General features: G+C 39.4%; 2 long non-coding RNA genes across 3 annotated transcripts in view; both read left to right on the plus strand.

Annotated features, from left to right (window-relative positions):
• LOC100506207 (uncharacterized) overlaps positions 1-19,922 on the plus strand; it is a 349,823-nt gene that overhangs the window by 200,106 nt on the left and 129,795 nt on the right. The window lies entirely within an intron of this gene.
• HULC (hepatocellular carcinoma up-regulated long non-coding RNA) lies at positions 16,541-18,128 on the plus strand. Its single transcript, NR_004855.3, has 2 exons — positions 16,541-16,662; positions 17,817-18,128. It is a non-coding gene; the product is annotated as a hepatocellular carcinoma up-regulated long non-coding RNA (long non-coding RNA).

The raw sequence follows: 19,922 nt of genomic DNA on the forward strand, positions 1-19,922 counted from the left end.
AACACAATTATGATTAAATAAAACTGAAATTCCTCAGTGAATTTATTCTAAGAAATTAGATAAACCAAATAATATGAATGATAGATAAAATATGATTGGACTGGAGGATAAAAAGAAAATTTGTGAGTGGTTGGGGATAAAAGGATAGTGAGGAGAAGGTAAAGTTGAGCAAGAGTTTAATATTTTTTTCCTAAATATTTCGGTTGATTTCTCTGTGCCCTCCTACACTTCAGTCCTGGGATTTTAGACCTGAAAGGGGTATTAGGGGCATTCTTGTACTTGCCCTTTTCAAACTTCAAGGCAAATATGAATCTCCTGGGGATCTTGATAAAATGCAGATTTGGATTCAGGAGGTCTAGGGGAGTGGTGGTGGGGCTTCAGTTTCTGCATTTCTAAAGCACTTCCTTGGACCACATTTTGAGTACCAAGGATCTAGTCCACTTTCCATTCCTCCCTGTTTTTATTTGTGAGCATGGTGAAGGCCAGAGACACTAACTTTCCCAAGGCCACACAGTCCCTTAGTGCTGCACAGACGAGAAGAGCCAGATCCTCCACTCCTCTGCCCAGTGTTTTCTGTGTGGATTGAGAGTTTTCCAATCTGGTTCTGCCAGCAGAAAGTCACAAATATAATGATGCTTTTTGCAGAATACCCTTAAACACTCACATAATCAATTAATATTCCTCAACTTTGTGCTACATCAAATAGCATCTTACAATAGATAATCAGAGCCCGTTATTTAATATCAGCATCAAACACATCAGTTAACTTAGGAGATCCACGTTTGTGCATCCCAAAGCTTACATTATTTGAGTTCTCCTTTAAAAAGGTACTGAAAAGTTTAAATATAAATAAATATGAAAGTCAATATTTATGTAGAATGGGAATAGAAATGTGAACATGTAACAGAAGCTTTGGAGATCCATGCCTCTTCCTTCTTAAATCACTTGTGGCAATGTATAAAGAGTTTTTCCTAACTGTTGCCTGACTTCCCCTGCCCAACCAGTAAGTACTAGCTCCCAGTACTTGCAAGAGCCTGGGCCACTGAGGGGTCCTGAAGCTTAAGCATTATTAGCTTCACTGTAGAGCTGTTTCTGGTCTAAGAACCAGTGTTGTCTGCATGAAGTGGGCTTTTCTGGAGCAATTAATTTCCTGGGTACAGTGCTCCAACTACCCTGAGACCCCTTGCATACCCATTTCATGGAGTGGATAATCCATTTGCTGGTCCTCCACAAGATTAGAGCTATTGAGAATCTTAACTAGACATACTTTGCTGTTAGTATAATTTCTGGCATTGTGTTAATTCTCATTCAGCTTCATCACCTCATTGGAAGGCAGAAAGAAAAGCCAATAGACAAACTAGAAAAACCAAAAATAGTTGATCAACTTGGAGCTGATCATGCCACATGAGAATGTGGTCATCTAAGCTCCAGCAATTCCAGCGTTTTTTGTTTTTTTAAATCATCTCTGGACCATCCCAGTTATTACCCAGCTTTTGATCCTTTGCCAGTGTTCATTACTTTAGGTCAACAGGAGATTGACAAAGGTAACTGTCAAGTTGAATCATAAAATAGAGAACCAAAATGTAGCTGAAAAAATATGCATGTGTTCTAATACTTCTGAATGTTCTTAGAGAATTTCTAATCCGAATTTAAAACCTTTAAGTTTCATTTTTTAAAATACAAAAGACATTTGTTTCAGAAGACATTTGCGATGTTATATTTTGATATTCTGAATAATCCCCCTTGTGCCGCAGTTTAGCATAGTTTCAGCGCAACAAATATGATTTAGTTAAAATTAGCTGAAAGCATAATGGATATTAAAAACCTTCTGAGATACAAAGTTAAGAACATTACACATTTCTTTGGTATTGACTTTTTGTGATGAATCATATTAATACATCTCAAGTCATTAATCTTGTCTGTTTGTATTTACTTAACTGGGAATATGTAGTTTTGTTATATTCAGTATTTACACCAGTTATGGCGGATGCTATTTCACATATATCTAAAATTGGTTTACATATCAAGATGATTTATTTAAACTAGACCAACATCCACATTCATTTATGCTATGGAAATCAGCTTTGATTGTCTTCGTAGCCAACTTGGAAAAAAAAATCTGGTAAAATCATTTAGTCTCTGAGTTTGCTTTACGAGTGATTTTCTCTGGGAAAAGAAGTGGGGGACTTCTGCTAAATTGGGGATCTGGGTAACCGAGCATCTCTGGGAGGAACAAAGGAATAGAACAGAGGGGCTAATTGTTTAATTAGTAAATGTCTGCTTGGTTAATGACATATTAATGAGTTTTTAAGACCGTCATATCATTTACCATAAAAGACCCATGTGCCTATCCCTGGATGTACTGTATAATTAAGTAATGTGGCCCAGAGGAGTTAATCATTTAAAACCCTGTCATCTTTCTCAAGTTTGCAGATAGAAGAGCTAGCACAGAAGGCACCTGCCAGGTAGAGTCAGGGTGGCACATAATTCTGAACTAAATTGTCTCTCTGCAACGGCTGCACAGTCAGATGTCTGCCCAGGAGCAGAAATTTTTTTTTCTTTTGACAGCTGAAAAAGCTGCTAAGATACTGCCATTTGCTCCTTGGCACTCAGTTACTGGCAGTGAGAGTATGTGTTTGCAGAACAGGGACCATGTGAGCAGCTTTTGAGTACTTAAAAGAGTGTGGAGGCTCAGAGGACTCAGAGATTCTAGAACTGTGCTATTCAATATGGCAGCCACTTGCCACGTATAGCTATTTAAATTTAATTAAAATTAAGTACAATTTTAAAATTATTATTTTTTCAGTCATATCAACCACTTGTCAAGTGCTCAATAGCCACATGTGGCAAGTGGCCCCTTTATTGGTGGCACAGACATAGAACATTTCCATCATCACAAATGGGATGGGATGGACCACACTGTTGCTAAATGCAAACAGTGGTGGGGGCAACCAGGACATTGGCAAGCAGTGGTCACCTGTGTTCTCCATTTCCACCCGTGAAAAGCTGAAGAGAGAATGCATTCTTCAAACCCTGGAAGGTCAGCCCCAGTCCTACACAAATAGTTCATATCCTTTTTTCATGGGGCAGAATCCACACCAGAATATTGCAGCCATTTGTTTAGACTAGAAAATGATAATTTACCTTACCACAGAGCACACAGTTTGGGGGATACAAATTATGTTCTTATTGGTAAATTATAGAGCTTACTACCACAAGCAGCACTGTGAAGTTTTCCAGCCCAGCTCTTTGTTCTAACCTGCTTCCCTTAGACCCTCCAGAGCTTCTTGTTTCAGACCCACAGAACTGAATTCAAGTCAGAAACTGTAGTTCCACTGCTCTTGCATATGTCTATGTGGTTTTTCAATATAAGGTAAACTCTATGCTCAGAAACTTTTGAATGCCTTAATTTTCTTGGACCTTCTGCAGAAAAAAGAGTTCTCCAAATGGGTTATTTTAAACAATTTACTTCTCATTCCCGTTTCTTGACCTCCACTCTACAGTCTGATTTGCATTAATATTTTCTTGCATTAGGTCTCTCCTCTCTCTTTCTGGCCTCTATTTTTCTAAATACTTTTGTCATGTTTTAGTCATTTTAAATTTAATATCCTGCAAATTTCGAATTAATTATGTAAGCATGTGCCACCTTATACAACTGGGGAGTGATTCCAGTGTGTCTTCAGGGTGGAAATACTTAAGACCCCCTTCCTGATCTGCTGGTAATAGCAAGAGGTCTAGGAGTTCAGTCTGTTTCCCTTCAAGATTCCTGTTGAATCTTGACAAGGGGACAAGAACCTCGTCACCTACATGGGGAATCTTTTGCTGGAGCTGTGTGATAATGGTGCTACTGCCAACAACTTGGCACTGGCCATATCACAACTGACGCAAATGCTCCAAATAATATAGGCATGGAGTCCCAATCATCCCCCCATATGCTAACACATCAGACACCTTCTAATTTCCAGCAGTCCAGGGCTTTCTCTATGTGATTTGCAGTGGAAGAAGAATAGGCAATTTATTTTAAAAAACATAGTTCCGGATGGCAGTTAACATACACAGCTCAGACATAACTCTCTTAGATAAGTGCACATCCATCTTTCTGACTTAGAGAAGTCCTGCAGAAAATATTGCTTGAGCGTAAAAAATGTTATCATAAAATTCATGTATTTCCCCCTCTTTTGACATCAAATAGGGTAGATAGATTCTTGAACACAAATGTTACCTCTTTCCCTACTTCATTGGTGGAAGGGGTATACTATTTCTCTCCTTGCCCCTGTGACTTTGTCTCATGGTGGACGAGGTGTTCTTTACCACCCCTTGGTCTGGGGCTTGAGTGTGTGTTTTACTTTGGTCAAATAGATCTTATCAGGTACAGTTTGTTCAGAGGCATAACCTGTGCTTGCCCAATTGGGCTTGCATTCTTGTATTCCTGCCTTTTATCACGAGAAGATACCTTGAGTAATTTTTCTAAGAGGATGAGAGAGACACACACAGAATAACTTGGACCCAATCTGAAGCCTGGACCCCAACCCAGCTGCAGCTGACCTAGCTCAGCTACATCCCAACTACCCTGAAGATGTGTGAGTGAGAAAAAACTTGCTTATTTTTGTATGCCACTGAGATTTTGGATCTGTCAATAACTGAGACATCAGCCAGCCCCTCCTTTTAATTATTAGCAAGACAATATTGATTGTGTGTGAAGGTCACAGGGCATCTGAGGTTGTACAGGCACGATTGTCTGTTCTTTCTGGCTTTGTACTTTCATGGTTATGAAACACCTGGAGCCAGAGCAGGGAGAGTGTTTGCAATTCAGCCCTACCCTTATACACTGACCATGGCAGAGAAGTACAAGAAGATGGTCTTGGTCTTTGTCTTGGTTTCAGCCCTACCCTTATACACTGACCATGGCAGAGAAGTACAAGAAGATGGTCTTAGTCTTTGTCTTGGTGAGGCATGCCTGAAATGCAGAAGTGGGTAAAGGTCTTAGTTCTTGTGATGCCTGTGAAGATGGCTTTGATAGCCATTAGGGAATTTTATAAATATCCTGTTTCTCCTCTTTCCAGGACCATGCTATGTTTGCATGTCTCCACTCTTCTTGAAGTTGTCCTTGACCAATTACTTGGTTTGGACAATAAAATGTAAGTAGGTTTGATGTGTGTGATGTGCTACCTCTGGGTAGAAGCCCTAAGAACTAGTGTTTACCTTACCTGTCCTTGTCCTTGCCATTTTAATGGGCCACTTCCCACATGGTGGAGGATGATGCTATGGAAACCAAGTTCAGAGCTGATGGACACAGAGCATGAAATGGAAATACACATATGCTATTGTAACTCACTGAGAAATTTCTTTATTACACCATAACCAAACCTATCCTGGACTCTTACAATTTCCTATATTCAAGTTGGTTGAAATCTAGTAAAAGAGATGAGGCAGGTTACTATTCAAATCAATATGGGAGTAGCACCATGAATATATGGTTCAGAGTAAATTTTTTTCGAATGTGGAACAAAAGAGAAATTGCTTCAGAAAGACATGATTAAAGATGAATAGCTTGAGCAGTCATTTGAATATGATAGGATCTCAATAGGCAAATTATAGAGGGAGGCATTCAAGAGAGATGAAATGGGAATGGAATTAGAGAGCCCAAGGGATATTTAAAAAATGGAGAGCAGACAGATGGACTTGCGCTCAAGCCTTTTGAAAACAGGCTCATTGCATATAGCTGAGCAGCCTTTCAGTACAGAAACTCATGCTGTGACCTTGAGTATAAGGCCCAAATAATACCAGATAAGAAGACCAGGGCAGAGGGTGAAGACCCTCGAATGTCAGACAAAGAATTATGACCTATGTTCTATTGGCAATTAGAGTTATCAGTGCTTTATGTGTAGTGCAGGAGTCAGAGGAAAGCAGTGTTTTAAGAAGATTCCTCTAGCATGGTCTACATGATGACCAAGGAAAATTAAAAAGGTGACTTATCTAATTTTCTCTCCCTCTTGCTTTGTCTTGAGGACCCACCATAGCAATTGAAGAATGATATGGAAAGCCTTGATATAAGATTCATAAAATGGGAAGATACAAATGAAAAGGCACTTCTTGAGTGAAATGTGTATCATGGAGTCACTAGTCTATAGGTTCTGCCGCTTAGAAGGCTATGTAACCTTAGGCAAGTTACTACTATATCACTTTAAGCTTCATATTCCATACATGCAAAATGGTGATAATACCAGTATACATTTCACAGACTTCTAGGGGAGTGGGTGGTAAATGAGAATATTCACTCATCCCAGTGCCTGTTTAGCCTATATAGTAAATACCAACAAATAGAGGCTACAATTACTTAAATTAATGATCATTTCAGTTTCTCCCGGGGAGTATGATGGTATTTTTTTTTCCTACTAAGCAATCAATTTGCTGTTTCTATGTGATACTTCTTTGGAGAGGAAGACAAACTTCCTAAAAATGTTAAGCTATCAAAATAAAAATGAAAAAATGCACTTTTCTGTTATTTCAACATCACTCGTCCATTAGACCAGAAACACCAAGTAAGCATGACCATCAAGGCAGTTCTTTGTGCAGTTTGGTAATTCCTTTTAAGGCCCCCAGGGAGGCTGGTAGGGAAGAATACTGAAGAGGAAAGCAAACAAGATTAGGTCAGCACCCACTCTCCCTTTGGGGGGATTCACAGTACTGTTTTTGTTGGAATAAGCAAAGCTCTTGCAAAAGTTTGGTTTGTTTCTCACTGAATCCAACGTCTTTTCCCTATCCTTCGGCTAATATTTTAAAAGGTAAAGTAAGCATTCAAAAATGTAAAGTAGCACTTTAAATAAAAAGTGGAGACATTTTTTTCAAAAGGCAGAGAAAGTCAGCCAAAATAGGACAGCCTTCCTTAGTTGTATAAACTGAAAATCCATGAGTTAAGCTATAGAAATGCCTGTGTGCCTCTTCTCTGCCTGTATCTATCTTGGACACTTACATCTTCACATCAACAAAATTAGTAAGGAAGTTATTACTCAATTTTACAAATGAGGAAAGAGCAATTAAGTAAATTTAAAAGCACGAAATAAAAATGGGATTTCACTCATTCATTAAACAGAGATTTATGAGTGTCGATTTTATGGCAAGCACTGTTTAAACCACAAGGACGTAACCTTGACCAAGTCAAAGAATAGAATTTCAAGCAGCTGGAAGTGTAATGGGGTGGTGGGGGGTAGACAAGTAAACATAGAACTAGTGTGATGAGGGCTTTGAAGGTTCCTTGGAGGAGGTGAATTCAAGCTTGAGTCCTGCCGGGTGACGGCAGGTTAGCATCTGCTAGGGCGAGAGGGCAGGGTGCCAGGGGAAATGGAGGCAGGTCAAGGTGGCTGGAATGTGGCATGAGAGGCAAGGAGTGACCAGGGCACTTGGATCATGAAGTTCCATCTACATTATGGCATCTGGACTTCATCAGAATATGTTGTCGATATCCACTGTCTTTATTAGAATCTGATAAATCCTTAACCTTTCCATCACTGCCACCTCCATCCAAGCCATTATAATTCCTTACTGGGATTATTGTCATATTCTTTTGTGTGATCTCCCTTCTGATCTTGACCTCAAGTCTATTCTAACACTGCCACAGTAAGCCTGTTAAAATGTAAGTTAGATTATGGCACTTTGGCTTATAACTTCCAATGTTTTTTACGCATTAAGGAAACAGACAAACAAAGAGCCTGGATCCATATAGCCTGTATGGCTTTACTGGATCTGCTACCTTCTTTCACCACTCACTTTCCACCATATACTCTCTGATCTGACCTCTTATTGCTGTTCCCTCTCCTCACTCTGTCTGGTCCACTGATGCGGCTTCCCTGCTGTTCCTAGAGCACACACAGTGTCCACAGCATGCTGTCACCACAGGACCTTTGCATCTGTACTCTCTCTGCTTACAATGTTTCTTCTTTCTGACCTCCTTAATTAAGGTCTCTACTTAAATGTCACCTTCCTGATGAGGCTTCCCCAGTCCCCTTTATGTAAAGTTGTAACCCATGCCCCTACCCATCTCAGGGATCCCTTTCATGGAATTCACTATCTAACATACTTAAATTTCATGTGTTTTTCTTGTGTATCATCCATCTCCTCCTCTAGCATATGATCTCCTCAAGAGGAGGCATGTCTGCCTATCTGCTCACTGCTGTGTCTCCGGTACAGACAACAGTGCCTAGAATAGAGAGGCTTCCCACTAACTGTTTATTGACTACATGAATGAGTATACCTGGACACAGTTGGAACAGTTGCATATGAATGGAGCTTTCATTTCTTTATAAGACAAATAGTAAACACTGAGCTTCTGAGTGTCACTATGTGTCATAAGATTAGCCTAAAAAGTAAATCTAAATATAAAGGAATACAAAATGTTATAATCTAGGGAGGATACAGGCAAACCCCGGGCAGCTCAGATCTATAATTATTACTCTGAAGGTCAGAAATAGGAGCAAAATACTAATATTGTAACCCAGAAGGGAAAGAGGTTTTAATAAATATAAAATGTTTGGCTTATGCTAGTTCTTTATTTGTGGTAGTGAGAGGTGAAGCCAGCGGGACTTCCTGGGTCGAGTGGGGATTTGGAGAACTTTTCTGTCTAGCTAGAGGATTGTAAACACACCAATCGGTGCTCTGGGTCTAGTTAGGGGATTATAAATGCACCAATCAGCACTTTGTAAAAATGCAACAATCAGCACTCTGTGTCTAGCTAAAGGATTGTAAATGCACCAATCAGCATTCTCTAAAAACGCACCAATCAGTGCTCTGTGTCTAGCTAAAGGATTATAAATGTGCCAATCAGCACTCTCTAAAAACGCACCAATCAGCACTCCTTGTCTAGGTAAAGGATTGTAAATGCCCCAGTCAGCACTCTGTAAAAACGCACCAATCAGCACACTGTGTCTAGCTAAAGGATTATAAACGCATCAATCAGCACTCTGTAAAATGGACCAATCAGCACTCTGTAAAATGGACCAATCAGTGCTCTGTAAAATGGACCACTCAGTGCTCTGTAAAATGGACCAATCAGCAGGACGTGGGTGGGGACAAATAAGGGAATAAAAGCTGGCTAGTAGCCTGCAGTGGCAACTCGGTCAGGTCACCTTCTATGCTTGTGGGGGCTTTGTTCTTTTGCTGTTCATGATAAATTTTGCTGTTGGTTACTTTTTGGGGCTGTGCCACTTTTAAGAGCTGTAACACTCACCACGAAGAGCTGTGGCTTCCTTCTTGAAGTCAGCGAGACCAAGAACCCGCCAGAAGGAAGAAACTCTAGACTGGGTAGTCTCTTTGTTTCCTTCTCCTAATGAAACACTAGATTCATTGGAGCTGATCTATCAGCATGGCTCTGATGCTTATTTTTTTTTGTTACTGTAACAGCTAAAACACTTCCTTGTAATTTACCCCAAGTGGCATAATAAAAACACAGTATTACTCAAAAGGTTGAAATAGGACTAGATTTAGCCATAATCTGGTCTAGGGCCTCAAATAATGTCATCAGTACTCAAAATTTCTCTACCTCAAGGCTTCGTCTGCCCCCTAGCCTGGCTTCAGCCGAGACAGTGTCTTCATAGTGGCAGGATGGCTGCAGCAGCATGAGCGTCAGCAACATTTAAGTCTGCAGCACACAAGTAACTTTCCTGGCAGCATGCTGTGAGAGTCACTCTGATTTGACCAGCTTGAGTTACTAGCCACCTTCATTTGTGGACAGGGAAAATGCAACATAGTGATTAGTTAACCCATGGGTCACATTCAGGTCCTATGAACTGACAGTGAGTTAGGTGCCAAATAAAAATCAGTGTTTGTGCCAGAAGCTGGCCATCAGGATGCATGAGGACCAATCCACATGTGTCATCTTCTGTTTTCTTCTAGAATTTCCTGAAGTTCATTATTGTTAAGGATCTTAGCAACCAGTCTTTGGATTTAATATTAAAAAAATAAAATGATAGCAGCTATGGTGACACATTTTTAGTAACTTTTGCCATATTTTAGAAAGTTAACATATATAAACATCAGAAATTACTGGACAGATTACTAAGGGTTATGACTTCATGGTAATTTATTTATTTATTTAGAGATGGAGTCTTCTTGTGTTACCTAGGCTGGAGTGTAGTGGCATGATCATGGCTCACTGCACCCTCAACCTCCTGGGCTCAAACAATCCTCCCAAATAGCTGGGATTACAGGTGTGCACCATCATGTCCAGCTAATTTTTGTATTTTTTGTAGATACAGGGTCTTTCTATGTTGGCCAAGCTGGTCTAGAATTCCTGTCCCCAAATGATCCTCCTGTCTTAACCTCCCAAACTGCTGGGATTACAGATGTGAGCCACGATGCGTGGCCTTTGTGGTAATTTAAATTAAGTCTTTCTTGAATAGAAATTTCTCTGATGATGGTGATGATGATAACAGATAATACTCAGACAATTGAGCAGAAAGTAGGTTTGTGTATTCTTTTTTTTTTTTTTGAGATGAAGTTTCACTCTTGTCGCCCAGGCTGGAGTGCAGTGGTGTGATCTCAGCTCTTGGGTTCAAGCCTCCCGAGTAGCTGGGATTACAGGCGCCTGCCACTATGCCCAGCTAATTTTTGTATTTTTAGTAGAGACGGGGTTTCACTGTGTTGGCCAGGCTGGTCTCTAATTCCTGACCTCAGGTGATCCACTCACCTTGGCCTCCCAAAATGCTGGGATTACAGGCGTGAGCCACTGCACCCGGCCTGTTTTTGTACTCTTTAATCCACCATTCACAGAAAGGTTGAGGTTGGTGCCTTCTGGGCATGTGAATTTTCTTTGGGAAGGCAAACTACAACTGTTGGGCAAAATATGTAGCAAAACGAAAAACACCAAATACTCTGGTATGCCATTCAACAAACTGATAGACGTTCTCTTCTTATTTTCGGCAGTATATTTTATTATCCCAGTCCTGATTTGTTAGTACTTCTCTCCAGTGATATAAAATCAAGAAATGAAGTTAAAATTTTAGGAATATTCCCAAACAGTAAAAATTGGTGAGATAATTCTATCAGCCTCCATGGTTGTTCCTGCTAGGAGCCAATTCAGTGCCTTGTGGTATTCGCACAAAAAGAACATATTTTGCATAACATATCTTCCAAGCAGTGATTATCCCTTGCAGGCTGTGTGTTTTTCCAAGGGGTCCTGCTGATTAGAGGCTCTGAGTGAAATCTGTGCTGGTTGATAACCTGGCTACCTTGGCTTTCTACTACATTAAACCCCCTTTGGTCTTTTTAAACAGTAGCACTCATGCCAGTAGACTTTCCCTGCCTTCAGAAGCTATGTTTCCTTGCCAAGAATTTAATTCTTACAGGTCACCAAGAAGTAGATGGTATGTGTTGGCAACATTAATATCAGAATGCAACTTTTGAGATTATGAATTATCAATAGAATATCACATATTGTATGCCTTTGTAGTTAAATTTTCAAATAATTCAGTGAGTATTGAATAAACGTTATTGATCGTCACCATCTTCACCAAATTGATGTGGCACTGCCCGATTCTATTACATAATAGTGCCATTCAGTGTCCCATGTTAGAGAGTTAGATGGAGCAGAAAAAAATACCAGGGTGTTTGAGAAATGTTTTTTATTTTTTTTTAATTTTTTAAATTCTATTATTATTATACTTTAAGTTCTAGGGTACATGTGCACAACATGCATGTTTGTTACATATGTATATATGTGTCATGTTGGTGTGCTGCACCCATTAACTCATCATTTAGCATTAGGTATATCTCCTAATGCTATCCCTCCCCCCTCCCCCCACCCCACAACAGTCCTCGGTGTGTGATGTTCCCTTATAGACCCATAACATATTGGCATATTAATGCCTTGAAATATCATTCAGCATCTCTCAAAGTTATCATTTGCTTAGGCTGTTTTGAACCTCTTTTTGCCATGTGACAATTTTTAATATTCTTTGAACTTAATTTCCATGGGGTACACATTACAAGATTCTAATTTGACAAACACTTACATGGTCCTGTGTGCAGGAAGCTCGCCTCTGTATCACTGTAGTATTCATAAAACGACAGTAACTATCTAGGTCTTTGGCCTTTTCGTCTCTCCTCTAAGCCACAGGTCTGAAAACTTTTTCTGTAAAGTCCCAGATAGCAAATCTTTTTGGCTCTGTGGGCCATACAATCTCTGTCACAATTACTCAGTTCCGCCCTTGCAGCCACAGACAATATGGAAACATAATGACCATGACTGTATTCCCATAAAACTTTATGGCTAACGAATACTGGATTCCATGCACTTTTCACATATCAATTTTTTTTTCCTTTTGATGTTTTTCAACCATTCTTTACTCATGGGCAATACAAAAACAGGCAGTGGATTGGATCTGGTCCATGGACCACAACTTGCCAACCCCTGCTCTAAACTAAAATGGGTAACCTAGATGATATCAGTACTTCTTTCCACACTAGCCAGATCAGTATTCTGTATTACTGTTTTCTTACTTTTCTTTTGTGCTTTTGCAAAAATCTTGAAGAAGACAAACCTTCTAACTCTACCCATCCCTCAATGCTCACTAAGTTCCTACTGCCTTGATTAAACTTTTTCTTTATTCTTCCTTCACACAGAAATTTTTCTACATGACCCCTTTAGAATAAGGTATGTCAGGGCCACACTAGCAGCACCTCTCCTCTGACATTTTGAAATAAATTTAGTTTTGCTACATACATTCAAAGAACACATATTTTGTGGTCTCTGAATTTTTTGAAATATTTTTTAGAGCACAAATCTACTCTACATTACTTTATGACACCACTCCTGAACCAAGCTAGCACATAATTGTATATCCATTGAGCACTCAATCAACACATTATAGAAAAACAGTGTATAAATCATACGAGAATGGATGGATATTTTATCTATAGTTTTATAGTCAATACTCAACTCTCTGCACATTTAGTATATGGCAGAGCATAATTGACATGAGGTAGTAGAATGGATGTTATTATGTTTGGAGTAGTATGGTTTATTCTCAGATGTCCATCTAATGAAAGTGGGTAGTTGCCTTGTCTTCATTCATTTGATAAATAAATGCTTATTGAGTTCCTGTATCGTAGGTCCCAGCATTGAAGCAGATCTAGGTTGTCGTTCTCATTTGTACAACATGACATCACCTCTGGGTCCAGCTTTGGCTGAGTGTGCCTCTGAAACATCTCACACATCAGAACTCTTCTCCCCTCCATGCCTGCCTCTGTTAGCCTCTCATTGCCACTTGATTCAACAGTTAGTTTTTCTTCCTGTAGTCAGCTGGTGTCTTCTACCTTGTACACAGTTGTCAGAGTGATACTTTTATGAAGTATAACATATTATTAACGTATTGCTAATTTCCTATGTCTAACTGTTTAAGGATTTGCATAGCCTGCAGGATGTGTGAGCTTCTCAGGGCGTACACGTTCTCCCATGAAGACCCCTGCCTCCCTCATCTCTTTTGTCTTGTACTACTTTGCTAGAGCTTCCATAATAAAACATTACTGACTGGGTGGCTTAAACAATAGAAATTTATTTCCTCATAGTTCTGGAGGCTGGAAGTGCAAGACCATGGTGCCAGTAGGGCTGGTTTCTCCTGAAGCCTGTCTCCTTGTTTTGTAAATACCACATTCTCTCTTTGTCCTCCCTGGGCCTTTCCTCTGTGCACACACATCCCTGGTATCTCTCTGTGTCCCAATTCTTCTTCTCCTAAGGTAGCAGTACCGTTGAATTACTGCTCAATCTAACAGTCTCATTTTACCTTAATTACCTCTTTAAAGACTCTAATTTCAAAATACAGTAACATTTTGAGGTATGGGGTTAGGACTTCAACATGTAAATTTTGGGGAGGCACAGTTCAACCCATAATGCATCCCTTACTTTCTTCCTTCTCCCTGACAAGCATCGGCCACACCAGATGTTTTTCTGATTGCACCAAAGCCTTCCGTATCTCATGCTTTGCTCCTTCTGCTTTCTTTGCATGAGATGCCTTTGTCTTATCTAGACCATTTTTCTGCCTGATGAACACTGATAATATTTCAAGATGTAATTTAGAAATCACCCTTGGCCTGGTGCAGTGGCTCACGCCTGTAATCCCACCACTTTGGGAGGCTGAGGTGGGCTGATCACGAGGTCAGGAGTTCAAGACCAGCCTGGCCAATATAGAGAAACCCCATCTCTACTAAAAATACAAAAATTAGCCGGGTGTGGTGGTGCACGTCTGTAGTCCCAGCTACTCAGGAGGCTGAGGCAGAAGAATTGCTTGAACCCGGGAGGCCAAGGTTGCACTGAGCCGAGATCATGCCACTGCACTCCAGCCAGGGTGACAGAGCGAGACTCCGTCTCAAAAAAAAAGAAGCCACCCTTTCTGTATTGTCTTTCTTGACCTCTTGGTGTCTGTGGAGATGTTCCATAGTTGCACCTGTGACAAGTGTTGTACTCATGTGGGTGCATCTGTCCTCAGTCCTAAATTGAAAACCAGAGCCTATGTTTCATTACTGCTCAATGAAGATTTGTTGGATGAATGACTTGCAGGATCTTCTCTGACCCTCTTGAGTTTTGATTGGTTGGATACATTGTTAGATAATGAGGCAACAGAAATGTTGCAGTTCCTGAGTTACCAAAGCAATTTTGTGAAGATAACTATACTGAGCAGGATAAGCTTAAGATACGTAAAGTGCAACCAAAGACACTGTGAAAGGTAACATGATAGGTTGTGCATAGAAGTGGACACAAATTGAACCAGGACACTTTTACTTTAAGCTAAACTATTATTTTCTTAGATTTATTTACAAGAAAATGATTAGAGTAAAAGTTTTGCTTTTTAAAATCACTTGAAAAATTTCCCAGAGTCTCTTTTATTTCTTTTTTCCTCACAAACAAAAGGAGCTAGCTTTTTCCTAAAGAAGTTTTATCCTGATGATTTACTAAGTGAGATATTAGATAATTACTTTTACTTTATAGATTTTTACCTGGCACCTCAGGACTTGGAAATAAAGCTTTCTTTGAGGGGAAAATGTTTTGAAACATAAAACTTCCAAGACAAAGCTGTACCCATTTTCTAGCACAATTTATAGCAACTTCTAGAATCTCATATACAAGATGGGAGTTGAAAGAATTTTATAAAATTCTCATTTAGCAATATTAGAAAAATATTTAATGCATTACCATTCATCCTTTCTTTCATAGATGTTAGACAAAAAAAATAGATCTAGATGTATTCTGACAATAGTTCCTTTCCTTCGACACTATGCTCCATGAATTGTTCTGTGGTTCCCTATTTTTTGAAATGTAGGTAAGACCTATCTTGTATACACCATAAATTATAGTTCATTATAAACTATAGCTTATAGCAAACTTTAAGCAAGAATGATGAACTACTGCAATTTGGAGGAGAGAAATCCTCTGCCTGTTGGTAGGACTACATCAAGGTAGGTAGTTATCTATGTTTCTTTGGAAGAGTCTCAAATCATGTCATTAAAAATGGCAGTACTATACATATACCTGATGGCTTTGTCCCTTGGTTAGGCTCTTCATTCATTAGTAAATTCATCAATTTATTTCCTCCATCATTCAACCTATGTTTCCTATGAGCTTGCTGTGTGCAGGATACTTTGCTACATTAACTATGCAGTGCCTTATTGTATGCAGTTATTTGCCCCATTTATTTTCATGATAAGATTTCAAAAGAAAACTCTTAATACATCCGGTGAGGGCCTTTCCACTTGAAAAAAAATGCCAAACATTTAACCTGACTGAAAATGTATCACCAAAGTGCTTGGCTTCTGGCATAAAGCAGGGACTATGTATAAACACATCATAAAAATAGATAAAACAAGACCAGAGAGCCCAGAAGGGTAAAGTTGTCCTTTAGATACAGTCATGGTGACAACCCAAGCAGTGCCAGAGGATAAAGCAAGCTGCACCAGACTTCAAGTCAACAGACATTTATTGAACTCCAGTTCTGCATGGGGCACTGTGATAGTTGCTTTTGGGGATACAAAGATGAGTGAGACATCATTCTGCCCTCAAGAAATTTACAAGGGGAGAGAGAGATACACAGAACTGCCATACAAGGCAGGATGCATTAAGTGCACAAAGAGAGATATAACTAAAGTGCTTAGGGACATGCAGGAGAAAGTGGTTAATTTTTACCATAAATATCAGGGAAGACTTCATGCAAAAGATAGGCTTTGAGTTTTTCATGTAAGTTTAGATCAGATTCTGAGAGATAGAGGTATGGGAAAGAGTGAAGTAAACAGCACATAAGAACAGTCATGAAGAAGGCAATTTCAGTGTGCAGCATTTAGAGCTTGGGTCAGAAAAGCAGGTCCACTACAAGTGGGAGCTGGTTGCTATACACTGAATGTTTGCAGTCCACAAAATCAATATGTTGAAACCCTAATCTCCAGTGTGATGGTATTTGGAGGTGGGGCCTTTGGGAGGTAACTGGGCTTGGATGAGGTCATGGGGGTGGAACTCATGATGGAATTGGAGCCTTTACAAGGGAATGAAGAGACAAGAGCTCTCTTTATGCCACGTGAGGATACAGCAAGGCCCCAATCTGCAAGCCAGGAAGAGTCGTCACGAGAACCAGACCATGCAGGAACTCTGATCGTGGACATTTCAACCTCCAGAACTGTGATCCAGTAAGTGTTGTTTAAGCCACCCAGTCTTTGTTATTTTTTATAGCAGCCTAAGCGGACTGAGACACGTGAAGGTGGACTGAGACACATGAAGCAGTCAGTGTGGGGCTGTTCCTTCACTATCTGGTGCTGAAGCTTTAAGTCCACGGGGCAGGAAGTTGGGAGAAAAGAGGGCGTGAAATAGAGAGGGGTTCGAACAATCTGGAACTCTTGAGGCTGAGCTGGTTCCCACAAGGACCAACTGGGACCCATTAGCCCCTCTTACCACCTGTTAGCCTCCATCTTTGATTATGGAATCGATTTGCTGGAGAAGCTGGAGCTTTTCCTCATGGAGCTAAATCTGCTGCTGCCATGGGTGTGATAAGCTGAAGGAGGGGAGTGGGAAGGAGCTGAGGAGCTGCACTAGGCTGCTACCCCAGCCAACCAGTTGAACTGGCACTGGGACAACCATGTATGCTGTCTGAAGCACAGCCTGACGCCCCTGTGGACCTTTATAGAATGCAAAGAGTATGGCTGCTACTTCACTTTTACCTTTCAAATCTTGTGCAAATTCACTTATGCTCCACCCCCAACCCAGAACTCTGCGGATAAAGGAATTCTGGGAAATGTAGTTCCAGTTTGTCTGAATTGACCTATTGCAAATCCACAACACAGCACCAGAATATTACCTAGGATTATATTCGACCTGTTTCAGTGCTACAGAATATTTTATCTTCTCAGAAACCATGTAGTCTCCTTAGAACATCACAGTGAGTGCAACCTCCCACAGAGCTAACCTGTGTAATTGAAACCATTTAGGGAACAATGTATTCACTTGCTAAAGATCAACCAACTTGTTCATTTTTCAATTGTTTAGGGCCTTGCTGGAATTTAACACAAGGCAGAGAATAAGATTTGAGTAAAAGAGAGAGTTATATAAAATTGATGCTTTTCTCTCTTTTTTTTAATCATTGAAAAGTGAATGGAGAGACCCTTTTTCATTTTTGCTGGACAGCTTACAAATTCTAGATACATCAGAGCTCTTACATACAGATGTAGAACAATATGGTCTTGGGAAGCTGAAAATGCTAACTGAAACAAGCAGGACAGGGGATGAGTCAAGTGATTAATTTTTTATGATGATAGATGTCTTACAACTCTTTCTTTCCTCTTCCTAGAAATGCATATGTATCTTTGGAAGAAACTCTGAAGTAAAGGCCGGAATATTCTTTGTTTAAAACATTAAAAACAAAACAGACCAAAGCATCAAGCAAGAAGTTTCCTGGCAATAAACTAAGCACAGCATTATTTTTTAAGGAACACAAATTAAGTGTTCAACCTGTGGCAAATTTGTACTTTCTCCCTGAATTATGTTGTTATCAAAGAAAAAAATTGGGAAGCATGGCAAAATATCATCAAAACTGAAACTAGAATTAAACAAAACTAAATTAAAATGAAATAAAATGATGTCCATTCTTAATTCATCCTCACAACTGGGCCACTAGTTTTATGCATCTTGGCAGCCAATATTTTTGTCTCTAGGGCATAAATTATGCATCAGGTACCTCTGAAACTCAGAGACCAAGGAAAAAGGAGGTAATTTGGAAGGTGAAATAAATGTAAACATTCTGAAGAAAGAATCAAATCTGTACTTCAGGGTCAAAGATGAAATTCAAAAGGGGTTGACAATGCATAGAAAAAAGTGCTGAATTTAAAGTTGGTTTTATTATTATCATTGTTATTTGAACCAATAATTAAATCCAGTAAGTCTAGAGCAATGATCATAATTCTGTACTGTTGTTTTTCTATTTTAGAATCCAGTGTACTGTTTCCAAGAGCTTGGCAAAAAAAAAAAAAAAAAAAAAAAAAAAGAAAAAGGAGCTTGACTCTAAATCTCTAAATCTTGGAGTCTGGATGCACTATTCATGTGATAGGCTAAAATAACTACTAATACCTTATGTTCAAACAGCACTTTATGAAGTGATTACACATAAAAGATCTTTTTTGATATAACTGTTATACGGCATATCTTCCATTTTATAGACAGGGTGAGTTGTTTGATGCGTAAGATGAGCTGAAATAGGAAAAGTGACAGAAAATTTACAGACCTATGGAATAATATTCCACAATGGGGTATTCTTTATAATTATCTGGGCTGAATAGCACCATCCAAAGTTCTTAAATCATCAACAATGCCATTTTTACTGTAGAGGAGAAGAGTTATGATCCTTTGACTCTTTAAATTTTCTTCCTTGACAAAAGTGATCTACCTTTCTAGCCAACCTGTCTCAATGATCCATAATGTTGCTACCCTGGTGCCAGATGGATATGATAGAAGGCTCCTAAAAGGCTCTTGGTTTGAGGAAAGTGTTGCTTACATACAACAGGAATCTTGTGGGATTTAAGAAGTGGGGAGATGTAAGTTTGAGTCATTAATAATTTAACTAAATTTACTTTTACAATGTTAGCATTGCTATTTTGGTTTATGTAACTTATGACTAATATTTTTAAAGATACTGAACATTATATTAATTTCTTTACAGCATGGCTTACCTTTAAATATTGCACCATGTCCATAGGTGCAATCTGTCCTAATCTATTTCTATTGAGGACCCAAAATAGGCACTAAGATGTACAGCTGTGCCAAAGAGCGATTTATCCCTCTTCTTGATCTAATGCACCGTAAAATCTAGTAATTTCTTACTGTTCCAATGATTACTTCTTGCTTATAGCTGGTACTCAGTCAAAACAGCCTGTTACCAGATTAGCTACATTATTTAGACCAAATTCCTCTTAACTGCCTACTAGATTTCTCATCTTGGATGCCCCATGGGTTCATCAAAATTAGGATGTCCAGAACGAAAGCCATTACCTTCCCCTCAAAGATGTCCTTTCTTTCTAAAATGATTCTGTCTATGTGTGAATGGCATCATGATCCCCTGAATCTTGCAAACTATTCACTTTGAAGTCATCCTTAACTCCATACCTTATTTGTTAGCCACCTCATCCTGTTAAATCACAAACGTGTTTCCAACCCGACTTCTCCAATTTATTCCTACTGATTGTGCTATTCCAAGTTCTCTATGTATTGCCTGGATTTTCTCAGCATTTTGTAACTAGTTTCTTTGTCAATAATCTCTCATTATTCTGGCCCCCAGCCTGCCAATGACCTTGCTTTAATTTTAGTGGGATGGTTTCGAGGGAATGTATGTTGGTGAAAACAATTATCTGCTTCCCTATTTAAGCTAGAATGCCTTACAAACTGCTTAGCAGAGGAATGCAGC

This window comes from Homo sapiens, chromosome 6, assembly GCF_000001405.40.
Source record: "Homo sapiens chromosome 6, GRCh38.p14 Primary Assembly".
Lineage (NCBI taxonomy): Eukaryota > Metazoa > Chordata > Mammalia > Primates > Hominidae > Homo > Homo sapiens.